The 21638-nt window shown below is 41.0% G+C and overlaps 2 protein-coding genes across 13 annotated transcripts in view, besides 2 other annotated features; one reads left to right on the forward strand and one right to left on the reverse strand.

The window, feature by feature from the left end:
- The window catches only part of TCTN3 (tectonic family member 3), a 30527-nt gene extending 14892 nt beyond the window's left edge, over positions 1-15635 (reverse strand). Inside the window, exons 1-13 of one of the 8 annotated variants that reach the window (XM_011539627.3) lie at positions 15352-15635; positions 15061-15184; positions 14628-14746; positions 9300-9427; positions 8955-9063; positions 8752-8867; positions 8203-8238; positions 7264-7344; positions 6207-6332; positions 5230-5337; positions 4809-4888; positions 4359-4512; positions 2180-2317 (exon numbers count right to left, since the gene is read on the reverse strand). In XM_011539627.3, coding sequence (XP_011537929.2) covers positions 2180-2317; positions 4359-4512; positions 4809-4888; positions 5230-5337; positions 6207-6332; positions 7264-7344; positions 8203-8238; positions 8752-8867; positions 8955-9063; positions 9300-9427; positions 14628-14746; positions 15061-15184; positions 15352-15607 — 1575 coding nt within the window. In that variant the 5' untranslated portion in view covers positions 15608-15635. Of the gene's footprint in view, positions 1-2179; positions 2318-4358; positions 4513-4808; positions 4904-5229; positions 5338-6206; positions 6333-7263; positions 7345-8202; positions 8239-8751; positions 8868-8954; positions 9064-9299; positions 9428-14627; positions 14747-15060; positions 15185-15351 lie in introns of all 8 variants that reach the window. The other 7 variants (NM_015631.6, NM_001410982.1, XM_005269690.3 and 4 more) reach the window with 7 other exon arrangements.
- Positions 15340-15619: an enhancer, noted in NCBI's record as "active region_3801". NCBI's record gives its function as "activates an Ori minimal core promoter by ATAC-STARR-seq in GM12878 lymphoblastoid cells {active_cell/tissue: GM12878}" and the evidence as "EXISTENCE:reporter gene assay evidence [ECO:0000049][PMID:35858748]".
- Positions 15893-21638, forward strand: part of ENTPD1 (ectonucleoside triphosphate diphosphohydrolase 1) — a 183082-nt gene continuing 177336 nt past the window's right edge. For 2 of the 5 annotated variants that reach the window (XM_011540371.3, NM_001440934.1), the window contains exon 1: positions 19342-19471. The gene's annotated coding sequence lies outside the window, so the exon portion shown is untranslated. Of the gene's footprint in view, positions 16029-19341; positions 19472-19514; positions 19625-21638 lie in introns of those variants that run through there. The other 3 variants (NM_001440933.1, XM_047426024.1, XM_047426026.1) reach the window with 3 other exon arrangements.
- Positions 16094-16595: an enhancer, noted in NCBI's record as "H3K27ac hESC enhancer chr10:97454143-97454644 (GRCh37/hg19 assembly coordinates)". NCBI's record gives its function as "activates a minimal SCP1, AML or CMV promoter by ChIP-STARR-seq in primed H9 embryonic stem cells {active_cell/tissue: H9 hESC(primed)}" and the evidence as "EXISTENCE:reporter gene assay evidence [ECO:0000049][PMID:30033119]".

Consider the following 21638-nt stretch of genomic DNA (forward strand, 5'->3'; position numbering starts at 1 on the left):
AGGTTGAGGCGGGTGGATCACCTGAGGTCAGGAGTTCGAGACTAGCCTGGCCAACATGGTGAAACTCCGTCTTTACTAAAAATACAAAAAATTAGCTGGGCGTGGTTGCAGGTGCCTGTAGTCCCAGCTACTCGGAAGGCTGAGGCAGGAGAATCACTTGAACCTGGGAGGCGAAGGTTGCAGTGAGCCGAGATCACACCACTGTACTCCAGGCTGGGAAACAAGAGTGAAACACTGTCTCAAAAAAAAAAAAAAAAAAAAATTTCACAAGATGTCCTAGACAAAAGCCTGTGTGGACGGAGAAGTGATTTCAAGTTAAGGACAAATAATCATAAATGCATAAAGAAAAAGTGAGTATGTTTATCTGACTTCTGGAGAAAATTTGCATTCAAGATTGAAGAAGTAAAAAAAATTTATTATAGAAGGAAATGCTTGCATTTGATAAACTTTTATGATATAAGTTTCATATAAGTATGAAATGATACTTTTAAGATGTTTTATTATAAGCTTATTGTAAGCACTATAAGATATAAGTATCATTTTATAACTCCTTATACTTTTATAGGAGCATAGCGTCTTTCATGGGGATGAGCTGGTTAGCCCATAAAGTGAAAATTTTTACACAAAATTACCTTTGCAAATCCCTCAAATCACACTTAGTAAAGGAACGTGGTTTTGTGTATATCATACCACATATTAATACATTCAAACAATTAATTTTTACTTAATAATTGGAACAGATAATGTTTCTTCAATTATGTATGAATGAAGCACAGCTAAAATTCTCAACTCTCGCCCACTTAGGCCAGTTAAAGTGAATGACTGTAGTGTGGTTTTGTAGCGGGGACAAACTAACCTGAAAAGCTAACTTTTGCTAAATACTAGAAAAAGCTATCAGTTAAAATACCCAGACAAAAAAAAGGCACTGAGTGACTTCAATGCCTAAAGGAACCAGAGATGTGGAAATACACAGTGAACAGTCCTGTGGGTATCTTTCCAAACAACACAGTAACCAAAAAATATAATTGAATGTTCTCATTAATACAGTTTCTGGTAACCTGAGTGTTGACCCCATTTCTAGGCAAAGAGAAATAACTTGCCCAACCCTGTTGTGAGGGAGACCCAAAGGTATTTTACTTCTGACCTAAATGTAGTCTCAAGTTTACTTTATTTCTGGGATGTAAGTACAGTGCAACAGGTAAGAATTTAAATCTGTTTGATTTTCATTATAAGTTACTAAATTGGCATGCCAGTTTATATGTGAATAATTTCACTAGGACCTAGTCATTTCTTTTTTTTTTTTTTTTTTTTTTTTTTGAGACGGAGTCTCGCTCTGTCGCCCAGGCTGGAGTGCAGTGGCGGGATCTCGGCTCACTGCAAGCTCCGCCTCTCGGGTTCACGCCATTCTCCTGCCTCAGCCTCCCAAGTAGCTAGGACTACAGGCGCCCGCCACTACGCCCGGCTATTTTTTGTAGTTTTAGTAGAGACGGGGTTTCACCATTTTAGCCGGGATGGTCTCGATCTCCTGACCTCGTGATCCGCCCGCCTCGGCCTCCCAAAGTGCTGGGATTACAGGCGTGAGCCACCGCGCCCGGCCGTCATTTCTAAGTAAAATGAAAATACCATGTTTTTAAACTTCTATAGCTAAAGATTGGTTTAAACACCAAGGCAGATGCTAAAGCTCTCCTAAGGCGCATAATAAACAATAGGTATATGTTTGCTACAGATTAAAAGTGTTCATTTAATGGAGCAGATACAACCAAGAGCTGGTAACTATAAACTAGTCACAGCGGTAACTTTAATCACAATCAACAGGCTCAGGGACTCACATATAACTGTGTGGCTGACAGATTGAACAATTATGGAAGGTGTTTTCTGTGGTTGAATCAATCAGAATAGTAATAATGGTAGGATTACTGAAAAGAAATTAACCTGTACTATAATCTGGGGTCAGATTTTTTTTAAAAAAGGATATAAGCGGTATTCATGACATCATGTTAATTTCAGTAATCAGGCAGGGTGAATAGACTTGACAAATTATGTCAGCTCACTTTAAACAAACATTGGTTGCTAACATAAATTAGCTCTTGGAAGGTAAAAAATTATTTGGTTAACAAATGACTGATAAGACAATCTAGGCTTTGCAAGGTTTAGTGATCCTTTATGAGCCATGACTTACCTGTATAGACTGGCACTGGTATAGGAATCGAACTCCTGATACATGAGCTTGCGGGTTGGACAGGAGACCTACATATGCCCACAATACCTGGATCTCCAGGGAAACTGGTATGAGACAGCAGGAAGTACAGTTTATAGCCTGCAGAAGGGTAAAGAAGCATCTGCTTGAATTGCCTGATGGTTGCCTATAGTCAATCACCAAGTACTAAGCCATTGTTTCTTAAGCATTATTCAGTAATAAGGAAGGCAATGTAGCTTAGTGGAAGAACACAAAAGTTCACAATAAGACTATGTTATTATTCCTGATCTTTTTTTTTTTTTTTTTTGAGACGAAGTCTCGCACTGTCACCCAGGCTGGAGTGCAGGGGCACGATCTCGGCTCACTGCAACCTTTGCCTCCCAGGTTCAAGCGATTCTCCTGCCTCAGCCTCTCAAGTAGCTGGGATTACAGGTGCCCACCACACCTAATTTTTATTTTTGTATTTTTAGTACAGACAGGGTTTCACCATGTTGGCCAGGCTGGTCTTGAACTCCTGACCTTGTGATTTGCCTGCCTTGGCCTCCCAAAGTGCTGGGATTACAGGCGAGACCCACCACACCCGACCTCTGATCTTTTTTTTTTTGAGATGGAGTCTCGCTCTGTTGCCCAGGCTGGAGTACAGTGGTGTGATTTCAGTTCACTGCAACCTCTGCCTCCTGGACTCAAGCGATTCTCCTGCCTCAGCCTCCCCAGTAGCTGGGATTACAGATGCCCACCACTACACCTGGCTAATTTTTGTATTTTTAGTAGAGACAGAGTTTCACCATGTTGGTCAGTCTGGTCTTAAACTCCTGATCTCAAGTGATCTGCCCGCCTCGGCCTTCCAAAGTGCTGGGATTACAGGTGTAAGCCATGGCACCTGGCTTCCTTGATTAATCTAAATAACAGTTACTGAGTATCTCCTATGTGTGAGCTGCTTAGTAGGCACTGGCTTGAGCAGATCATGTGGCTAAAGTAAAGGATTTGAATACAGGAGCAGTGTAAAGTCAAAGAAGATGATACGTAAGGGTTAGATTATGAAGTGCATCCAAGTAGTCTGGAAGCCATCAGAGAGCCTCGAAAGTTTCCAGAATAGAAATATGGTATACCTAATGCAGTACTCCAGGAGGATTAATTGCAAAATGCAGAAAGGCATATCATTCTATATGGTTTTGATTTTTAACCAGATAATGCATTTTCATGTAAATAATTGTAAAAATGTAAATTTTTATAATTACAATAGAAAGAGCACAATTTTAACCTCATGAAACTCTGTGCTGACCAAATATTCAAGAATATAAAATATTTGAAATATATGAGATTTTTGAACAACAGAAATCTGTAGATTATCTGCCTTCAAATTTTTTTCTAAGTAAGGAAAATACATTAGGTATTTTAAACCTAACCTGAAATAACTACTTCAGGCTGGGAACAGTGGCTTATGCCTGTAATCCCAGCACTTTGGGAGGCCAAGGCAGGAGGATCACTTGAGCCCAGGAGTTTGAGACCATCTGGACAACATACTGAGACCTTGTCTCTACAAAAAAATCAAAAAATTATCTAGGCATGCTGGCATGTGCCTGTGGTCCCAGCTACTCGAGGGGCTGAGGTGGGAGGATAGCCTGGGCCCAGAAGGTTGAGAATGCAATGAGCCATGATTGTGCCACTGCACTCCAGCCTAGGTAAGAGTTCAAGATCTTGACTTAGAAAAAAAAAAAAAGGCCAGGCGCGGTGGCTCATGCCTGTAATCCCAGCACTTTGGGAGGCCGAGGCAGGCGGATCACAAGGTCAGGAGTTCAAGACCAGCCTGGTCAATATAGTGAAACCTCATCTCTACTAAAAATACAAAAATTAGCCGGGTGTGGTGGCGGGTGCCTGCAGTCCCAGCTACTCGGGAGGCTGAGTGAGGCAGGAGAATCCCTTGAACCCGGGGGGTGGAGGTTGCAGTGAACCGAGATCATGCCACCACACTCGAGCCAGGGCAACACAGTGAGACTCCATCTCAAAAAAAAAAAGGCTTCAAGTGGGCATGATTTCTTATACTCTTCCTTCTATGACAAATGCATTATCTATGGAGACAAGGCTGGTTTTAAACTTACTATCCAAGATTTACAAAGGGGTAAAAATGAGTCTTCATCAGAAAGTATATTTCTCTCCTTACTGAAATGCTGCAGTGCCTGTTGAGGATCCTGGTCCACCCTCCTTTCTGGGCTGGGTCAGCATTACCAAAGATGGCAACATACTCTGGTCTGGGCCTTCCATGAAGAGTCTGATAAATCTCCTGCTGCAAGTGGCTGCAGTCTGCCTTCTTCAACCTATAATTAAACACCATGGAGGCTGCAGTCCAATGCTAACATAATAATATACCTATATTAGTACGGTATGTTAAACCAAACATTGGAAATAATATAAAATAGACCAGAGGGTATAATCCTTAGTAGGTATTAACAATTGCCAGAAAACTCTTAGCAATATCAACACTATTTAGACTAAAAGACTATTCCTGACTAGCATTTTCCGAACTGTCATTAAAAATATAAAAGTTACCATATCAACATATTCCCTACATATTCCCGAAATTGCAGGAAATGATGCGGAAGCAAAGAACTACCTGAGCTTGCATCCAGATATTGCATTCACTCCAAACTGCACTTCATGTCTTTTAACAGAGCAACTTCCATTACCCTGGCTCTGTAAGAGGGTCATCCAAGGTGGAAAAGTGATGATCAAGGACATCATAACAGAAAAAAAAAGGAGGCAGCATTGCAAAATTTATGTTCTCATTCTCCTTTAATGCTATTTATTTTGTATTACTATCATAATGTTCGAGTCACAAATTTGTGATTTTTTTCCTCAGAAAACCACAGAGAGACAACTAGATTCCAAAAATGATTAACCATATATTAGTATATAAGTACCTCATTATAATGAACAAAAAATTCCTCACCTTTGGCTAGTCTAACATAAGTTTGAAAGCCTTTGCAGCTTTTCTCATTAGGCTGCAACAGGCCACCCAGCTCTAAAAAGGATACTGAGTAACTTATATCATCAGTCAGAGCCAAGAGTGGCTTCCCAACTATATAGCCAGGATTCCCACTTCTAGGACTGGTGAGAGAAGCAGCTGTGCTCTGTTGAAAAGCCTGCAGAAAGAGGGAAGAGAAGTCAATTATGGAGATAAGCATACTTTCCCACCTCCCACTGCTTGGCTTCACCGTACCCTTCCTTAAGGCAAGGAAATGCAATAAGTGAGCTACACTGAACAATCTGGCTTCTTTCCACAGTGTAGCATTTTGCTTCTTTCACTTTTTTAAATTTACTAAAATAAATCCTTCATGATCTGAATATTGAAATTCATAATACGCTACTTTTACCAAGGATTACAACCAAGAATCTACTAAGGATCCCTTAAAAATTACTAGCAATTTAGCAATAATAACACAGCCTGGTTAAAATCTGAAAAATTTAAATGTAATTAAAAAATATATATTTTAATTAACTACAGATGTTCCAGAGATGAGCTCTGAGAGACACAGCAGTTGGTTGATCACCTGAGGGTAGAGTTGAGAAAATCTATGCTGGGTTCAAAAAGAGGAAAGAAGTAGCAGAAAGCCAAATGGCAGTGATTAAGAGTGAACACTCAGATTAAGTGGGAAATGAGTAAAATGCTGACTGCCCAGAAATATGAGAACAGCTAGTTAAAGAATTTTTGTAGGTGTTGGCTGAATTTATGATTCAAAATGACTATAAAAAAAGTTTTGATTTTAGATTGAAGTCCTGCTTTGTTGGGGGCCAGACAGAGAATTGGAGAAAATTTTAATGAGTAAAGACTTGTAGAATAACCACAACTTGTAGTAAAATTATGGAATATTAAATGTTGAGGCCTCAATCGACAGACTGAACTAGGCCTTCATATTCTTATTCTATTTCACATGTATTACAGAAGCAAAGAAATTATTTCTAACCCAATATTTCTTCCCCTCTAAATCCCCTATAAGAGAAGGGCCCTAACCCTGAAGCGAAGGATGAAGTGTTGCTGTAAGGAAGCGCCTGGCTCAACAGTCAGGTTGGTTTGTCCCAAACTGACAGAAACTTTCTGGATTCCAAAAGTCCCATTGGTCTCTATCTCATAGGTGACCTGAAATGCAAAAAGAATCAATTAATAAAAAGTAGTTATTGGGCCGAATATGTTTAGGACAGAAGATTTTCTGTCTTCAAGGGTGTTATTATAACTAAATGAGGCAGACTGAAACAGTAATGTTAAAAATGCCAAACACAAATACTATGAAAGATAAAGATGATTTCATATTATATTTGTATATGAAAAAGAAACTGGATAGAGCTCTTTAAAAGGGTTCACGGGTAGGTGAGTTTTTGGTAGGAACTGAAAGGGAAGAAAAATAAGTTGATTACGGACAGAGGAGGGCAAGTAGAAACAGGCAGAGGTGAGCATGGAACAGAAATCTGGTTTACTTGGCTCTCACAATGTTTGAGAATTAATAAAGATCATTGCTGGGGATACAAGTTGCAGGCAATTGAAAGTAACCTTAAATTTCTGAGCATAGTCTTTAAGAAGATGCTTTAAGATAATTCTTACTTTTTAAGGTTAGATTGTTTAGAGAACAGAGGAATACAAGTTGATTAATCTACTTCAGAGTTTCAGATGATACTGTGTCAAGAGAATAAAATGTGGTCAGTCAGTAAGAATCAGTAACAGACTGCAAGTGGGCAACAGAAGAGGTGTCAGAAATAATTTTAATGTCCTGGACCTGAAATACTGGAGGATGGTGGTGATGGAAATAACTGAAACGTGGTAGGGAGGATAATGGGCTCAATTATTGACAAGTTTAATTTCAAACTTGTTGGGAATTGTTGAAATTCACAATATGCTACTTTTACCAAGGATTGCAACCAAGAATCTACCAATACAACAAGTTTGCATTCCCAACATTGTTAGAGAATGCAAACAAAATTCAGTTGGGTCAGTCTGATACTTAATGGAAGATGAGGCACCTCTGGCAGTGTTGATTAACACACATCAGTCCAGAATCTGAGGTCAGTATCCCTACCTGAGAAACTACATTCTGACAAGTGTTTCCAGCCAACAGAGGAGCATTAGCCTGTGAGGTAAGTATTACAGGAACCTGGAACTAGCAACGAAAAGAAGCAAATTAACTAAAACTGAAGGCGGTATTTTGTCTTGTATCTATTAATAGATATCATGCTAAGATGAGTATTTTTCCTTCCCCTTGACCACCCTCTCTCTCTCTTCTTCCAGTGCCAGCCAACAACTTAAATTCAAGTCTTTCTAAACGAGCACTTCTCAAAACTTATTTCTCAGAACACTAGTTCTATTAAATATAAAACAAGGGTTCCATAGTCAAATAATTGTTAGAAATACTATATTCAGTATTCCCCTTAGAGATTAATAAGGCCCTCTAGCAAATTAAAGACTCCAGGAGGGGTGAGATGGCTCACGCCTATAATCCCAATACTTTGGGAAGCCAAGTCAGGAGAATTGCTTGAGGTCAGGAGTTCAAGACCAGCCTGGACAACATAGCAAGATCCCCATCTCTACAAAATATTAAAAAATTAGCTGGGCATGGTGGCACACGTCTATAGTCCCAGCTACTTGGGAGGCTGAGGTAGAAGGATTAGTTGAGCCCAGGAGGTTTAGGCTGCAGTGAACTGTGACCGTGCCACTGCACTTCAGCCTGGGTGACAGAGCAAGACCCTGTCTCTCAAAAAAATTAAGAAGCCCACCCTAAATATAGTTTATTTAACCCAATGTTTACAAACTTATCTAACACCTTATGGATCCTGGTTTCATACGAGGCTATTAACTGTATAGGACGTACTTGCAAAGGCACCGTTTTAGATCCCTACTTAATTGTTTGCTACATCACGCTTACATTTATCTTTCAACAGTACAACTTAGACTAAAATTGCCTCAGATGCAGAGGAGCCAAATATTCTTTTTCTTTTTTCCTGGTACAACAGCATCATACCTCCATATTCTGTGGATCAGTCATGCTTCTTGGAACCTAGGAGAACAGCAGGGACATGAATGTGCATATACCTTACCAAAAATCACCAGGAGCTTGTGGTTTCATATTACTACCAATAGGCTTTGGTTTGGCGGGCAGGGGAGTCAATATATTAGAATGATTTACTTCCTCTATTCCACCTGACTCTTCTTTACACTAAAATGCCAGGAAGTGGAGCCAGGCAGGAGGGTGACAGACTGTGATGCCTATTTACTCTGACAGGGCTCTACTGAATAGCAAAAGCAAGAAGTTTGGTGAGATGGGTGTTTTCCCCCTTCCACCCTCGCAAGCCAATCCCATTAGTGAGAAGGGTGATGATCTCTTATCCTGCATATATATCCCCAATTATTTCATTTGTCTTCAGATGTGGTTTCCAGGCCCTCTGTCTTTTACGTGGCTCCTGGGGATTCTGACTTTTATTCAATGCTCTTTCCACAACCCACAACAGTGAGAAGCATGTTCACTTCAACTTCATAGTAGTGACAGTGTAGGGAGAGAAAGGACACCTACCTTTAAGACTGTGAAGTTATAGTAAGAGGCAGCATTGAGGGCTGAATCCAAGGTACAGCTACTAGCCAGGTTCTTGAAAAAACGAGTGCAAGTTGTACTTTTACTCTCTAGGAAACCTTAAACACAAATAATTAAGAGAGTGGTAAATGAGAAAGCCTGTTTTAAATTGAATGAAAAGGTTGGTACTTTTGCTCTGGATTCACCTGCAGGATTGCTTTCAGCACAGAGTCCCCCAGCTCCAACTCCTGCAGGTTGTCTCAGCAAGCTTATTACAGACCACTTGGGGAAGTAAGTAAGAATGGGGTCCCCAGCCTGAATAAAATATAAAAGAAACTTTGTTCACAGTGAGACTGGACTAAACTACAACAGAAAAGAAAGAGTAGAAACAAGGTTAACTCAAGGGCATGATTACGTGGACAGTACTGCCCTCCAAAGAGCTGACAATGGTTTAGCTAGCTGCAGGGTAGTGCTGCAAAGTTACCTTGTCAGCTGTCTGCTGTGAGAGTAAAAACTAAACCAAACAATCCCATCCCCTTCCCCAGGCTCACCCTGTAAAAAGATGGTGGTGATTGAGTTTGGAATGTTGAAGTGAATGATTCGCCTCCAAACTCTGCAGCCAGGGCCTGGAAGTTGGTTGCATTGACCTTTTGAAGCTTCTGGAAATAGTTTAAGTTTGCTAAAATGTTTTTTAAAAGAAAAAGCGTTTAGATAAAAGAAAAACATGCCAAGTAACTAATTTTAAAAAATATTTTTATTGAAGCATAATATACAGGGTGCAAATCTTAAGTGTAAACTCAAAGAATTTTTACAAATTTATATACTTGTATTACCACTATCCAGATCAAGTTACAGAATATTTCCCCAGAAGGCTCCCAATCAATACTCCATCTCCAGAAATAACAATTCTGATTTCCATCACTTCTTATTCACAATCTATTAACTGAATTATTGTTTTAATATGCAGATCTGAGATAAGAATATGGTCATGAATGCCAGTCAGTTTCAAGTCATTGATGGTCAAGAATGTGTATGATCAGCAATTTGTAATGAAAATAGGAAGCTCAGCCAGGCATGGTGGCTCAGGCCTATAATCCCAGCACTTTGGGAGGCCGAGGCAGGTGGATCACCTGAGGTCAGGAGTTCGAGACCAGCCTGGCCAACATACTGAAACCCCATCTCTACTAAAAATACAAAAAATTAGCCGGACATGGTGGCAGGCGCCTGTAATCCCAGCTACTCAGGAGGCTAAGGCAGAAGAATTGCTTGAACCTGGGAGGCAGAGGTTGCAGTGAGCCGAGGTCGCACCACTGCACTCCAGCCTGGGCAACAAGAGCGAAACTCTGTCAAAAAAAAGAAAAAAAAAAAAAAAAAAAAAGAAAAAAAAAGAAAATAGGAAGCTCGATAATGCTCATGTCTGCCCCATACCAGATGAGTCTCTAACAGAATCGCACTATTTCCATAGGAACATGGGACAATTAGAGACAATTATGATAATTATTTGATCTGTCCTTTCCAAATCTTCCTGTTTCCTCTACACTTCAACTGACAAGTCCTAACAACAACTGACGAGTCCTAACAATGTTGCCATCTCTCAAGTTTAGAGATTTGTTGCATTTTATTCCTTAAGCCTTATAATTCCTCCATTCAAGATTTTAGATACTTCAAAAGGGTATTTTCTGGAAGAATTCTCTAATTTCTATGATAGCAATGTATAAATCTACCGAAACTCTTGCAGTCATCTCTTTATGGCACTTCAGAACCAGTAGAGAGATGTAGGAAAAGGGCTGTGATGCTGTCCCCTGCCCAGAAGATGGCAGGTGATTGACAACACTCTGTCTGCTTTACTACTCCAAGTCTGCTAAATTGAAAAAAGAACATAGGGAAACATGCCCCTTGCCAGTTTCATTCTTCATATAAGTAATGGTCATTTGTACAGAGTAAAAGAGGTTACAATACCTGCATCATTGAAAGCAAATGAGGATTCCACGTTAAATGAACCTGACCTTTACCCTCTGTGATAATGGATAACATCTTAATTACCTGACTTTTCAGCTTGCTGAAAAGTCAGCATGAATGGGGCTCTCAATTCTGGGGCCTTTCAGACTACTCACTCTCCACACATCTCCTAGATCCTTCTTATTCAAAGTGGGGTACACACATTAGTAGCTCCAGCATCACCTGAGAGCTTCTCAGAAATGTAGACTCTCAGGCCACTCCGCAGACCTCAGTCAACATCTTCATGTTAACAAGATCTCCAGGTAATGTGTATGCATATTAGAATTTGAAAAGCATTGCTCTGAAACAGGTGATGTTGATGCTGCTGTTCTGTGGGCCACTTTCCACCTCTGATCTGAAATCTTCAAACCCTAACGCTTCCAAGAGCTATTTAAACATTTCCTTCGGAACTCATACCCTGAAAACCACATGGAGGAGATATTTACCTCATGTAAAATGCAGTTATTTGTATCTTTACACATGAAATAAAAGTTAAAGTTAAGCTAAGAAAGAAGGTGAACTGAGATGGCAAAATATCTATCTGGCTATTTTTTCATGGCTTAAATGAATAAGAGAAAGTTTACATTTTGTCTCTCACTTCAGTGCAAAGATATTGGCGGTAGTGATGGTAAACATAGGCTAAGTAGAATTTTTGCCTAAAATTTCTACCATCACAGATGATATATTACACCTAAAAGAGCTTAAAGGTATTTAGATTTCTATTACAATTTCAGATGTCAAAGGAAGCCTACAGACCATCTGACCTAATCCCATGAGGAAATTTGGATCCTCAGAGGTAAAAGGGTAGCAAAAAGCCAGAGGGCCAGCTTGCAGAGCCAAGAGTAGATTGCAGATCTCCTATTCCTGGTGTTTTTTCCCCACTCCATCATGCTGTACAGACTTTGACTAAAAACGTAATTTACTGATGATCATTATCGTAGATACATATTTTTTTGAATTTTATTTTATTTTGAGATAGGATCTCACTCTGTTGCCCAGGCTGCAGTATAGTAGCATGATCACTGCATGCCTCGAACTCCTGGGCTCAAGCAATCCTACCTCAGCCTCCCAAGTAGCTGGCACTACAGGCATGCACCACCACACCCAGCTAATTTTCCTATTTTTTGTAAAGACTGGGTCTTGCTATGTTGCCAGGATTGTTCTCGAACTCCTGGGCTCATGCAATCCTCCTGCCCTGACCTCCCAAAGTGCTGGATTACAGGTATGAGCCACCATGCCTGGCTGTACCAATAGATACTAAGCACCATGGGGAAACAAAGATATGGTCCATCCTTTCATGGTGTTGACAATTTACCTGGAAAGACATGATGTTTACATAAACTAATAACAATATAATAAATCCTATAGGTTCTAAGACGGTGACTCAAACAATAAATGCTTTAGAACTTCTGAGGATGGGCTTACTTCCAAAAGATGAGCAAGAAAACACTCGTGGAAAATATAGGTATTTCAAAATGCAAAGAGAAAAAGGAACTATAGAGTCAGAAAGAAAAGCAAATACAAACTTGGGAAAAATACAGGGCATATCTTGAGGACAACGAGTAGATGAGTTCAGCCAAAGCAGAGGGTCAAGTACAGAGTAATGCTAAAAGAGCCAGGAACACTAAGTTGGATCAAATAGGAGATCTGACAGGCTGGCTAAGAAGCTGGATGTTATTTTATGGATAGTGGGAAGTAATGGAGGTTTCTCAGTAAGGAAGCAACATAATGCAATGTTATGGAAAGATTTATCTAGTGAAATGATTCTCCACAACTGTGTATACTGTGTGTAGATGCTATGTGTGTATATGTGAGGAAGGTAGGTAAATAATCAGAACCAAAGGGAAATTTTTGCCTTTTTCATACTAAACATGAATGTACACCCCACCCTCGTTCAGGAAAAAGTTCATTGATGTAATGAACCATAACTACTATTGGAAGTGGCCATATTCCTCCCTCAGGTGTTTAAAGAAAGTTCAGATCCACTGATCCCGAAGGAGTGTGCAGGATGGTGTCGGGGGCAGGAGTGGGGATCAAAAGCAGGGAGCACCAGGTAGGTGCCATTGCAATAACCCTGGAGCATGATCATAAGGCTGGATTTAAAAGGCAGTAAAATGTTTGGAAAAGAAGAGACAACTTTCTTTTTTTGAGACAGACTCTCGTTCTGTTACCCAGGTTGGAGTGCAGTGGTGCAATCTCAGCCTCCCAGGCTCACATGATTCTCCTGCCTCAGCCTCCCAACTAGCTGAGATTACAGGTGCCCACTACCATGCCTGGATAATTTTTTGTTTTTTTAGTAGAGACAGGGTTTCACCATGTTGGTTAGGCTGGTCTCAAACTCCTGACCTCAAGTGATCTGCCCACCTCAGCCTCCCAAGTGCTAAGATTACAGGAGTGAGCCACCGCGTCAGGCCACAACCTTATCTGAAAATGAAGTATTCATCTTGTTCCCTTTACCCTATTACCATCTAAATAACCACAAGGCTTCTGATAACTGCTTTGAAATTCAAGTCCCCCAAAACCAAAAACTGGTTGTTTTCTGAGACAAATATAGTTTTGCAATTCTTATTAACAGTCAGATGAAATCAGGATGAGGTGACTTCCAGGATGCAAGAGACATTTAAATCCATTTTGTGCAGGAACATTATTTTGCTTCATAGACATTTTAAAAAGATAGATTAGCTTCATATCTTTAGAAATGTTATAGCCATCACCAGCAAATTTCTAAGTCCACTAACCATCCCCAATAATAATAACCTCTAATCTTTATTGTACTCTACAGTTGTAGAGCGCTTTCATATACAAAGCCAATGATATTATTTCTCACTTTACAGTTGAAGAAACGAGCCTGGAAATGCTAAGGGATTTGCCCAAGTCTGTATAGCTGGTAAGGAAATGGCAGGACTGAGATCCTAATCTAATGCTCCTCCTACACTGTTGCCTCATGAAATGAAAATAAGGTTGGCATAGACTCATTTGTCAAAGATGTTCATTCAAACATTATTTGGTGCTTACTATGTGTTAGGCACTGGGGATTCAGTTAGTACCCTCATGGAGATTGTAGTAAGTGGGGAATATAGTCTATCTGTGATTATCTGAGTTAAGAGGAATGATTAAAATGATTGAAATTAAAGTTCTTTATGAGTTTTCTGATCCATAGCCAACAGAACATAAAAAGTTGCAAATGTGGCCAGGCGCGGTGGCTCACACCTGTAATCCCAGCACTTTGGGGGTCGAGGTGGGTGGCCCATGAGGTCAAGAGATCAAGACCATCCTGGCCAACATTGCAAAACCCCGTCTCTACTAAAAATACAAAAATTAGCTGGTCATGGTGGCACACACCCATAGTCCCAGCTACTCGGGAAGCTAAGGCAGGAGAATCACTTTAATCCGGGAGGTGGAGGTTGCAGTGAGCTGAGATCGTGCCACTGCACTGCACTCCTGGCGATAGGTGGAGGCTCCGTCTCAAAAAAAAACAAAAATGCAAATGTATTCCGTAATAAGAGAGAAGAGGCAGAAAGAGGCGTAGAGATTCAAAGGACAAAAAAAAAAAAAGTTTAAAAAAAAGAAATGGAAAAAAGGCCAGAATAAAAGCCAATTCTCAATAAATGTTAGACCAAGCTTGTCCAACCTGCAACCCACCGGCCGCATGCAGCCCAGGACGGCTTATGAATGCAGCCCAACAACACAAATTTGTAAACTTTCTTAAAACATTTGACATTTTTTTTGCTTTTTTTTTGTTGTTGTTTTTAACTCATCAGCTATCGTTAGTGTATTTTACGTGTGGCCCAAGACAATTCTTCTTCCAATGTGGGCCAGGGAAGACAAAATATAACACTCCTGTGTTAGAAAATGAGAACAACCAACATGTTTCTACTCACAGTTGTTCACATGGACACAAAACTGCCTGATTCCATTAGAATCCATGAAAACTCTTGAAGGAAACGGGGAATTACTCCTGAAGATAACAGAGTTGTCTACACAAACCCAGCTTGAAGACCTGTGAGGAAAGAGGAGGGAGAAGATATATTTAGAAGGGGCGGGGCAGGTCCAAAAAAGAGTGTCCCAGCAATATCGGCCAGATGATGCCAAAGAGGACTCCTTGGGCACCTATAGGACGACACGAAGGTCTTATTCTACTGGCCAGCCCTGCTCTAGAGAATCAGAAAAGGCAATTCCTAGGAAAAACCAAGGGAATGTCCTAGGAGTGGAAGTACGGGTGGGAGGCACAAAGACTAACTCTTCTTACATCCAAATGTTACCCGTTGTAGGCCCCAAACCCCTTTAGGATTCAGTCTGAGCAACGAAGCTCACCTTACGCTGCCTGGAAGGCAGAAGGAGAAAACTGTCCTCGGATGGAGAAGATAGCAGTCCCTGTCGCAGCAGCAATTTATATCGCAGGCTCCAGGAGTCAAGTCACAGACACAGATCGGTAAGACTATGAAAGTACGACACAGAGTGAGTGGGATGAAGATCCCCAAACTCTCCCAGGTGCTCACCCTCCTTCTTCCGACAGCCCCACTCCTGCTTTGTGGCAGCTCAACTTTGCTCACAGAATTTTAGATCTCAGAAGTAAGTTTCCACCCCCACAACGTTTTCCCTCACCTGGGAAGAGGTCCACAGTCCTATTCCCAGGGGCCGAGGGAGTCACGAGAGTAGGGACCACTGTAGGGAGTCCAGGCACGGCCGGGCGAGTTGCAGTCGCCTCTGAAGGGGACTGGAGGGTTCCGCCATCCGTCCCTCGCTGCAGCTCCAAAGACGTGGGCACTGCCCCTGATGGGGAGGAAGAGGGCTGAGGCCGGACGCCATCGGGGAACACCAGAAAGAACACTTGCAGGAGCGCGAGCTGTGGGGTGCGCATGGGGCATTCAGGGCCTCCGGGTCCGACGTAGGCCTCCGCGGTCTCCAATCGCATTGCCAGAGCGTGGGTGGGAGGAGTCGCATAGCGTCTGACGCCATCCGCGTGCCTCTTCTCATTGGCTCATGAGAAGGCTGAGAGCTCTTCAACCAATCGAAAGTGGGGTTGTTACAGCTCTTTCAGTGTCCTTCGGTCTGCGCCCTCCTCCTTAACGCGGGCCGGGCCGTGCCTCCGTTGCCTGGCAACCGTCAGTGACGAAGAAGCCCTTGCGCCTTCCTTCCGCTAGGTGGCGGTAGGAGTTCGGCGGACCGAGAGGTTCCGCGCCCACTTCGCGGCCCAGAGGACTGAGCCCGGCCTCCGGTGCAAGGAAACCCCAGAGGCCGGAACTAGAATTGCAAATTTTTTTTCACCCCGGATTCCAACGGTGAGAAACCCTTTCTATGGAAGAATAATGTTCTCAGGTGGGGGAAACACACCTAAGGTCACATACCTTAAAAAACAGTCTCCTCTAAATATGGCTTTTTTAAAAAAAAAAAAAACACATTAGAAATAATGTTCATTCAGCTCCTTACATTTTAACATTGAGAAATTTTGAAAACCCTAAAGAAATGCATCAAATCATTAAAGATGGACTGCATGTTTGTTGTTAGAAAAAGCAGTGAGAGAAAAATAAGAAAAAAGGGCAGGAAAAATGTGAGAAAATAGGGAGAGAAAGAATAAAAAAAAGAAACATTGTCTAGGAGGTGAGAAAATAAGATGGAGGAATGGAAATAGAAGATTTTTTTCCCCGTGTTAATGGCAAATTTTTTAAGCCTCTCTAGGAGGTTTTTGTTCTTCCCGGGAATGGCGTGCCTCTTCCGATTCCCCACAGCAGCGCGGGCCATGGGACTTTCCTTCGGTATTGGAAATGTACCGTAGCTGCACTGTCCAGCATGGTAGTCACCGGCCTTATGTGGCAATTGTGCGCTTGAAATGTGGCTAGCGTGACTGAGGAGCTGATTTTTTTTTTTTTTTTTTTTTTTGAGACGGTGTTTCGCTCTGTCGCTCAGGCTGGAGTGCAGTGGTGTGATCTCAGCTCACTGCAACCTCTGCCTCTAGGATTCAGGTGATTCTTCTGTTTCAGCCTCCTGAGTAGCTGGGATGACAGGCACGCGCCACCACGCCCGGCTAATTTTATTTTTATTTTTAGTAGAGATGGGGTTTCACCATGTTGTCCAGGCTGGTCTCGAATTCCTGACCTCAAGTGACCCTCCCGCCTTGGCCTCCTAAAGTGCTGGGATTACAGCTGTGAGTCGCTGTGCCTGGCCTGAATTTTTAATTTTTAAATTGTAATTAATTCAAAGTTAACCACAGACGTGAGTAGCTACCATATTGTACAGTGGGACTGTAGATGATCAAAATATTGCTCCTCCTAGACCCAGTATTTTCCTATGTCCACGGTTCTGACATCTGGATTATTTTGGATATTTAGTTTTAGTATATAAATTAACATCTGTTAAGAGTTATCTAAAATCTAGTACACTTACCTAAAATCTGGTCAACACCTCCCTTTACAAGTGAATCATTTAACTCAGGTAAGTTTTAGGACATTTGACTTTACTTGAATTCTCTTACAAGATCTTTATTTTCTAATGTTTTGAAGTCAGTAGCTAAAAGTCTCTCTGTGTTATAAATATTTTCAAATATGTTTTTATGTTGTTGTGTGATAGACAGCTATGGGAGATATGTGTTTGGTCTTAAAACATTTATTTACCTTATTAGTAATTTCTATAGGAAAAGGCCAAGTTCATATTATTCAGATTATATGATCATATGTATATACTAGAATGTAAATTCCAAAAATAGTGAGTTTTGTCTGTTTTGTTCATTGAAATATCCCCATGCCTAGAACAGTGTCTGGGACATGTTAGATGTGCATTAAATATTTTAAAAATATATTAAAAATTGTTTTGTTGAACTCTTTAGAATTAATCCTTAGGAATATTTTTAGTTTATTTTATTTCAGGATTGTATTTCTTTCTATAAAATTTCTTCTTTTTGCAACCAATTTACCATGTAATGATCTTTCTATAAAATTTCCATTGTACATCTGATCAGAGACTATTTTAGATTTCAAAGTTTGGAATTTAAATGGCAACTCTCAAATAGTGTTAAATTATTTCTGAATTTATTAGCGTTGGCAAAAGACTGTTGGTTGAAGTAATTTTAGAGATGAGTGATAAGGAAGTAATGTTTCCGGATCTTTTTGAGTTGCTTTTTCTTATTTTTGAATTTTAACACAACTTTTTTTTAGAAAAGTTATTTTTTTCTCTTTTGTTATAGTTAAGCAAAAAGATTATTTGTATTGCTGTTTTTTAAACTTGTTTTATTTATTGATTTAATTAATTAATTAATTAACTTATTTGAGAGAGTCTTGCCCTGTCACCCAGGCTGGAGTGCAGTGGCGCCATCTTGGCTCACTGCAACCTCCACCTCCCAGGTTCAAGCAACTTTCCTGCCTCAGCCTCCCTAGTAGCTGGGACTACAGGTGTACCCACCACACCCAGCTAATTTTTGCATTTGTAGTAGAGACGGAGTTTCACCATGTTGGCTAAGCTGGTCTCAAACTCCTGACCTCAAGTGATCTGCCTGCCTCAGCCTCCCGAAGTGTTGGGATTACAGGCATGAGCCACCGTGCCTGGCATGTATTGCTGTTTTGTATTTGTAAGAATCTCTGTAATATAGAACTCTCAATACTTTTGAGATCCAGTATTAAAATCTGAAAGATAATTTTGTGGATGAAGAATGAAATTTATTCACATGTGTCATGCAGATGTCAGGTTTAGTATGGGGACCAAGTCTTAAATTGAGATCATATAATATCATCTCAGAAGCAGAGATTTCCAAATTAGATCATATGATACTAGCAGTTGTCTGTGTTTGGGATTAAAAGAGTTTAATATGTAATTGGAAATTTAGCAAGGAGATTGTACTGAGATGGCAGACAACAAGTTCTGTCCTTTTCCCACTTCTCCCCCCTTTTCCAAAAATCTCTGAAAATTACAGAAAACTTAGATACACACACACTTGTGCATACATGAACATGCCCAGAATTGAAATACATGAAGGTGTGCTCTCATGGGCCAGACATTATAAGAATACTTGAAAAATAGAAGGCACATGGGATGGAATTGAAGGTGGACAAACAACAGTTGCATAATAAAGGCCTTATACAGAAATGGAAGTGACTCTTGGAGTGCTCTAAGCACACAGAAAGAAGGTATTTGTTATCAATAGTGGCCCTTAGACAATTCTATGAGTTATTGATTGAAGTACCACTGTAGGAAGAGCCAGGTCAGCCTCTCAAGCTTATCCCTACTTGTGCTTGCGGTGGATAGCAGAAGAATTTTCCCCTAAAGGTGGTGGTGGGGGTGGCGGGAGGCAGTCCATGTATACTTTTACTGAAAAGGCAGGACAGTGCCCTGGATGGCTTCTGACATTTAGGAGGAAGAGAGAGGCCCCACACGTTGAGACTGGTCCTAGCCCACTACTAGGTTTGCGTGTCTCCTCCAAAATTCATTTCAAAACTTAATCCCCAATGTGCAGTATTGAGAGGTGGGACCTTTAAGAGGTGATTTGATCATGAGGTCTCTGCCTTCATGAATGGACTAATCCATTCACGGGTTAATGGATTAATGTGTTGTCATGAGAGAGGAACTGGTGGCTTTACAAGAAGAGGAACAGAGACCTGAGTTAGCAAGTTAACACGCTCAGCTTCCTCACCATGTGATGCCCTGTGCTGCCTTGGGATGCTGCAGAGAGTTGCCAGCAGCAAGAAGGTTCTTAAGAGATGCCCCCTTGACCTTGGGCTTCCCAGCCTCCACAACTGTAAGAAATGAATTCCTTTTCTTTATAACTTATCCTGTTTCAGGCATTCTGTTATAAGCAACAGAGAATGAACGAAGACAGAAAATTGGAACCAAGAAGTGGGATTTTGCTGATGACAAATACCTGAAAATGGGGAAGCAGCTTTGGAACTAGGTAATGAGCAGGGGCTGGAAGAGTTTGAAGGAGCAGGCTATAAAGTGACTGTATTTCAGTGAATGGAGTATTAAGGGTGATTCTGGCGAGACTCAGAAAACAAAAAGACAAGGGAACATTTGGAACTTCTTAGAGATTTGTTAAATGATTGTAACCAGAATACGGATAGAAATATGGACAGTAAAGGCCATTCTGCTGAGATTTGAGATGGAACTGAGGAAGGTGGTATTGGAAAATGGAGTAAAGGCCATCCTTGTTATAAATTGGCAAAGAACTTGGCTGAACTGTGTCCATGCCTGAGGGAATTGTGGAGGGCCAAACTTGAGATTAATGAACTAGGGTATCTAGCAAAAGAAATTCCTAAGCCAAATATAGAAGGAGCTACATGATTACATTTGACAACTTATGCTGATATTCAGGAGCAAAGGAATAATTTAAAGGTAGAATTTATCATGAAAAGGGAAGCAGAGTGGAAGGATTTGGATAACTCTCAGCCTGACCACATGAAGAGTAAAAAAGCACGTTCAGCAGAGGAAACCAAGGGTGCAGCCCAGTGACTGTTTGCTAAAGAGATTAGTTTGGATAAAAGGGAGACAGATACCATTCCTTTAGACAAGGGAAGAAAGATCCCAAAGGCATTTCAAAGATCTTAGAGGGTGCCCCTCCCATCACAGGCCCAGAGGCATAGGAGGACAGAATAGTTTCAGAGGACAGGTCAGGGTACTCTCCACAGGCTCACTGCCCAGGGCCACCTCAAGGGAGTCCCACCGGCAAGATGGCTCTCACCAGGTATGCCTCTTTGACTTTGGACTTCCCAGGCTTCATAACTGTAAGAAATCAATTTTTTTCTTTATAAATTACCCATTTTTAGGTATTCTGTTATAAGCAACAGAAAATGGACTAAGATACACACCTTGTCAAACTCCACATCTACCATTTTCTTCTTCAAAAACCCTGCAGGTGGAATGCAATAAGCAGATCCCGCCTGTGCATAGGCTAACAGGGAATCTCAGTTACCAAGGTGGACACACACTCAAAAGATCTACATTTGAAAAAGAAAAAACCCAGCAAACAAAAAAAGGGTATAATATTCAAGAAACATCAAAACCCAAGGCCGAGTACAGTGGCTCACACCTGTTATCCTAGCATTTGGGAAGCAGAAGCAGGAGGATCGCTTGAGCCAGGGAGGTTGAGGCTGCAGTGAGCCATGATCACACCAGTGCACTCTGCCCTGGGTGACAAAGTCTCTTAAGTAAAGGAAAAAGGAAAAAAAAATTTAAAAAGGACAAGTTAGAAAAATAGTTTAGAACAAATATAATTAACATTTATAGAGAGACATGAGAATTTTGCATCTATTAGAGAGGAATCAACTAGGAATTGTGATTAAAGATGGAAGAAAAATGCACATTTGGGCCAAGTGTGGTGGCTCATGCCTATAATCCCAGCAATTTGGGAGGCTGAGGCAGGGTGATTGCCTAAGTTCAGGAGTTAAAGACCAGCTTGGGCAACATGGTGAAACCCTGTCTCTACAAAAAATAAAAATTAGCCAGGTGTGGTAGTGCACACCTGTAGTTCCAGCTACCCAGGAGGCTGAGGTGGGAGGATCACTTGAGCCCAAGAGGTTGAGGCTGCAGTGAGCCTTGATTGTGCCACTGCACTCCAGCCTGGGTGACAGAGCAAAATCCTGTCCAAAAAAAAAGAAAGAGAGAGATTGAGAGAGAGAAAGAGAGAAGAAAAGAAAGGAGGTAAGAAGGAAAGAAAGATGCACATTTGACCCCTCTTTTGAAATTTTATTAAAATACCTGTTAAAAGACTTAAAAGGGTATATATTTATAAAAACAAAAAGTAGGAGGTGTGGTTGACCATCAGCATGGTCAGTATGGAAGATTTTTCATACATTTTTGAAGAAATTGGAAGGATATTGACTGAAGAAGCAGCAGCCTAGAATATCCATGGAAAGGGACTGCAGCCAAAGGAGACAGCTGCCTTCCAGCAGAATACCACAGAGTAGCCA

The sequence above is a fragment of the Homo sapiens genome, chromosome 10 (assembly GCF_000001405.40).
Source record: "Homo sapiens chromosome 10, GRCh38.p14 Primary Assembly".
NCBI classification, from domain to species: domain Eukaryota; kingdom Metazoa; phylum Chordata; class Mammalia; order Primates; family Hominidae; genus Homo; species Homo sapiens.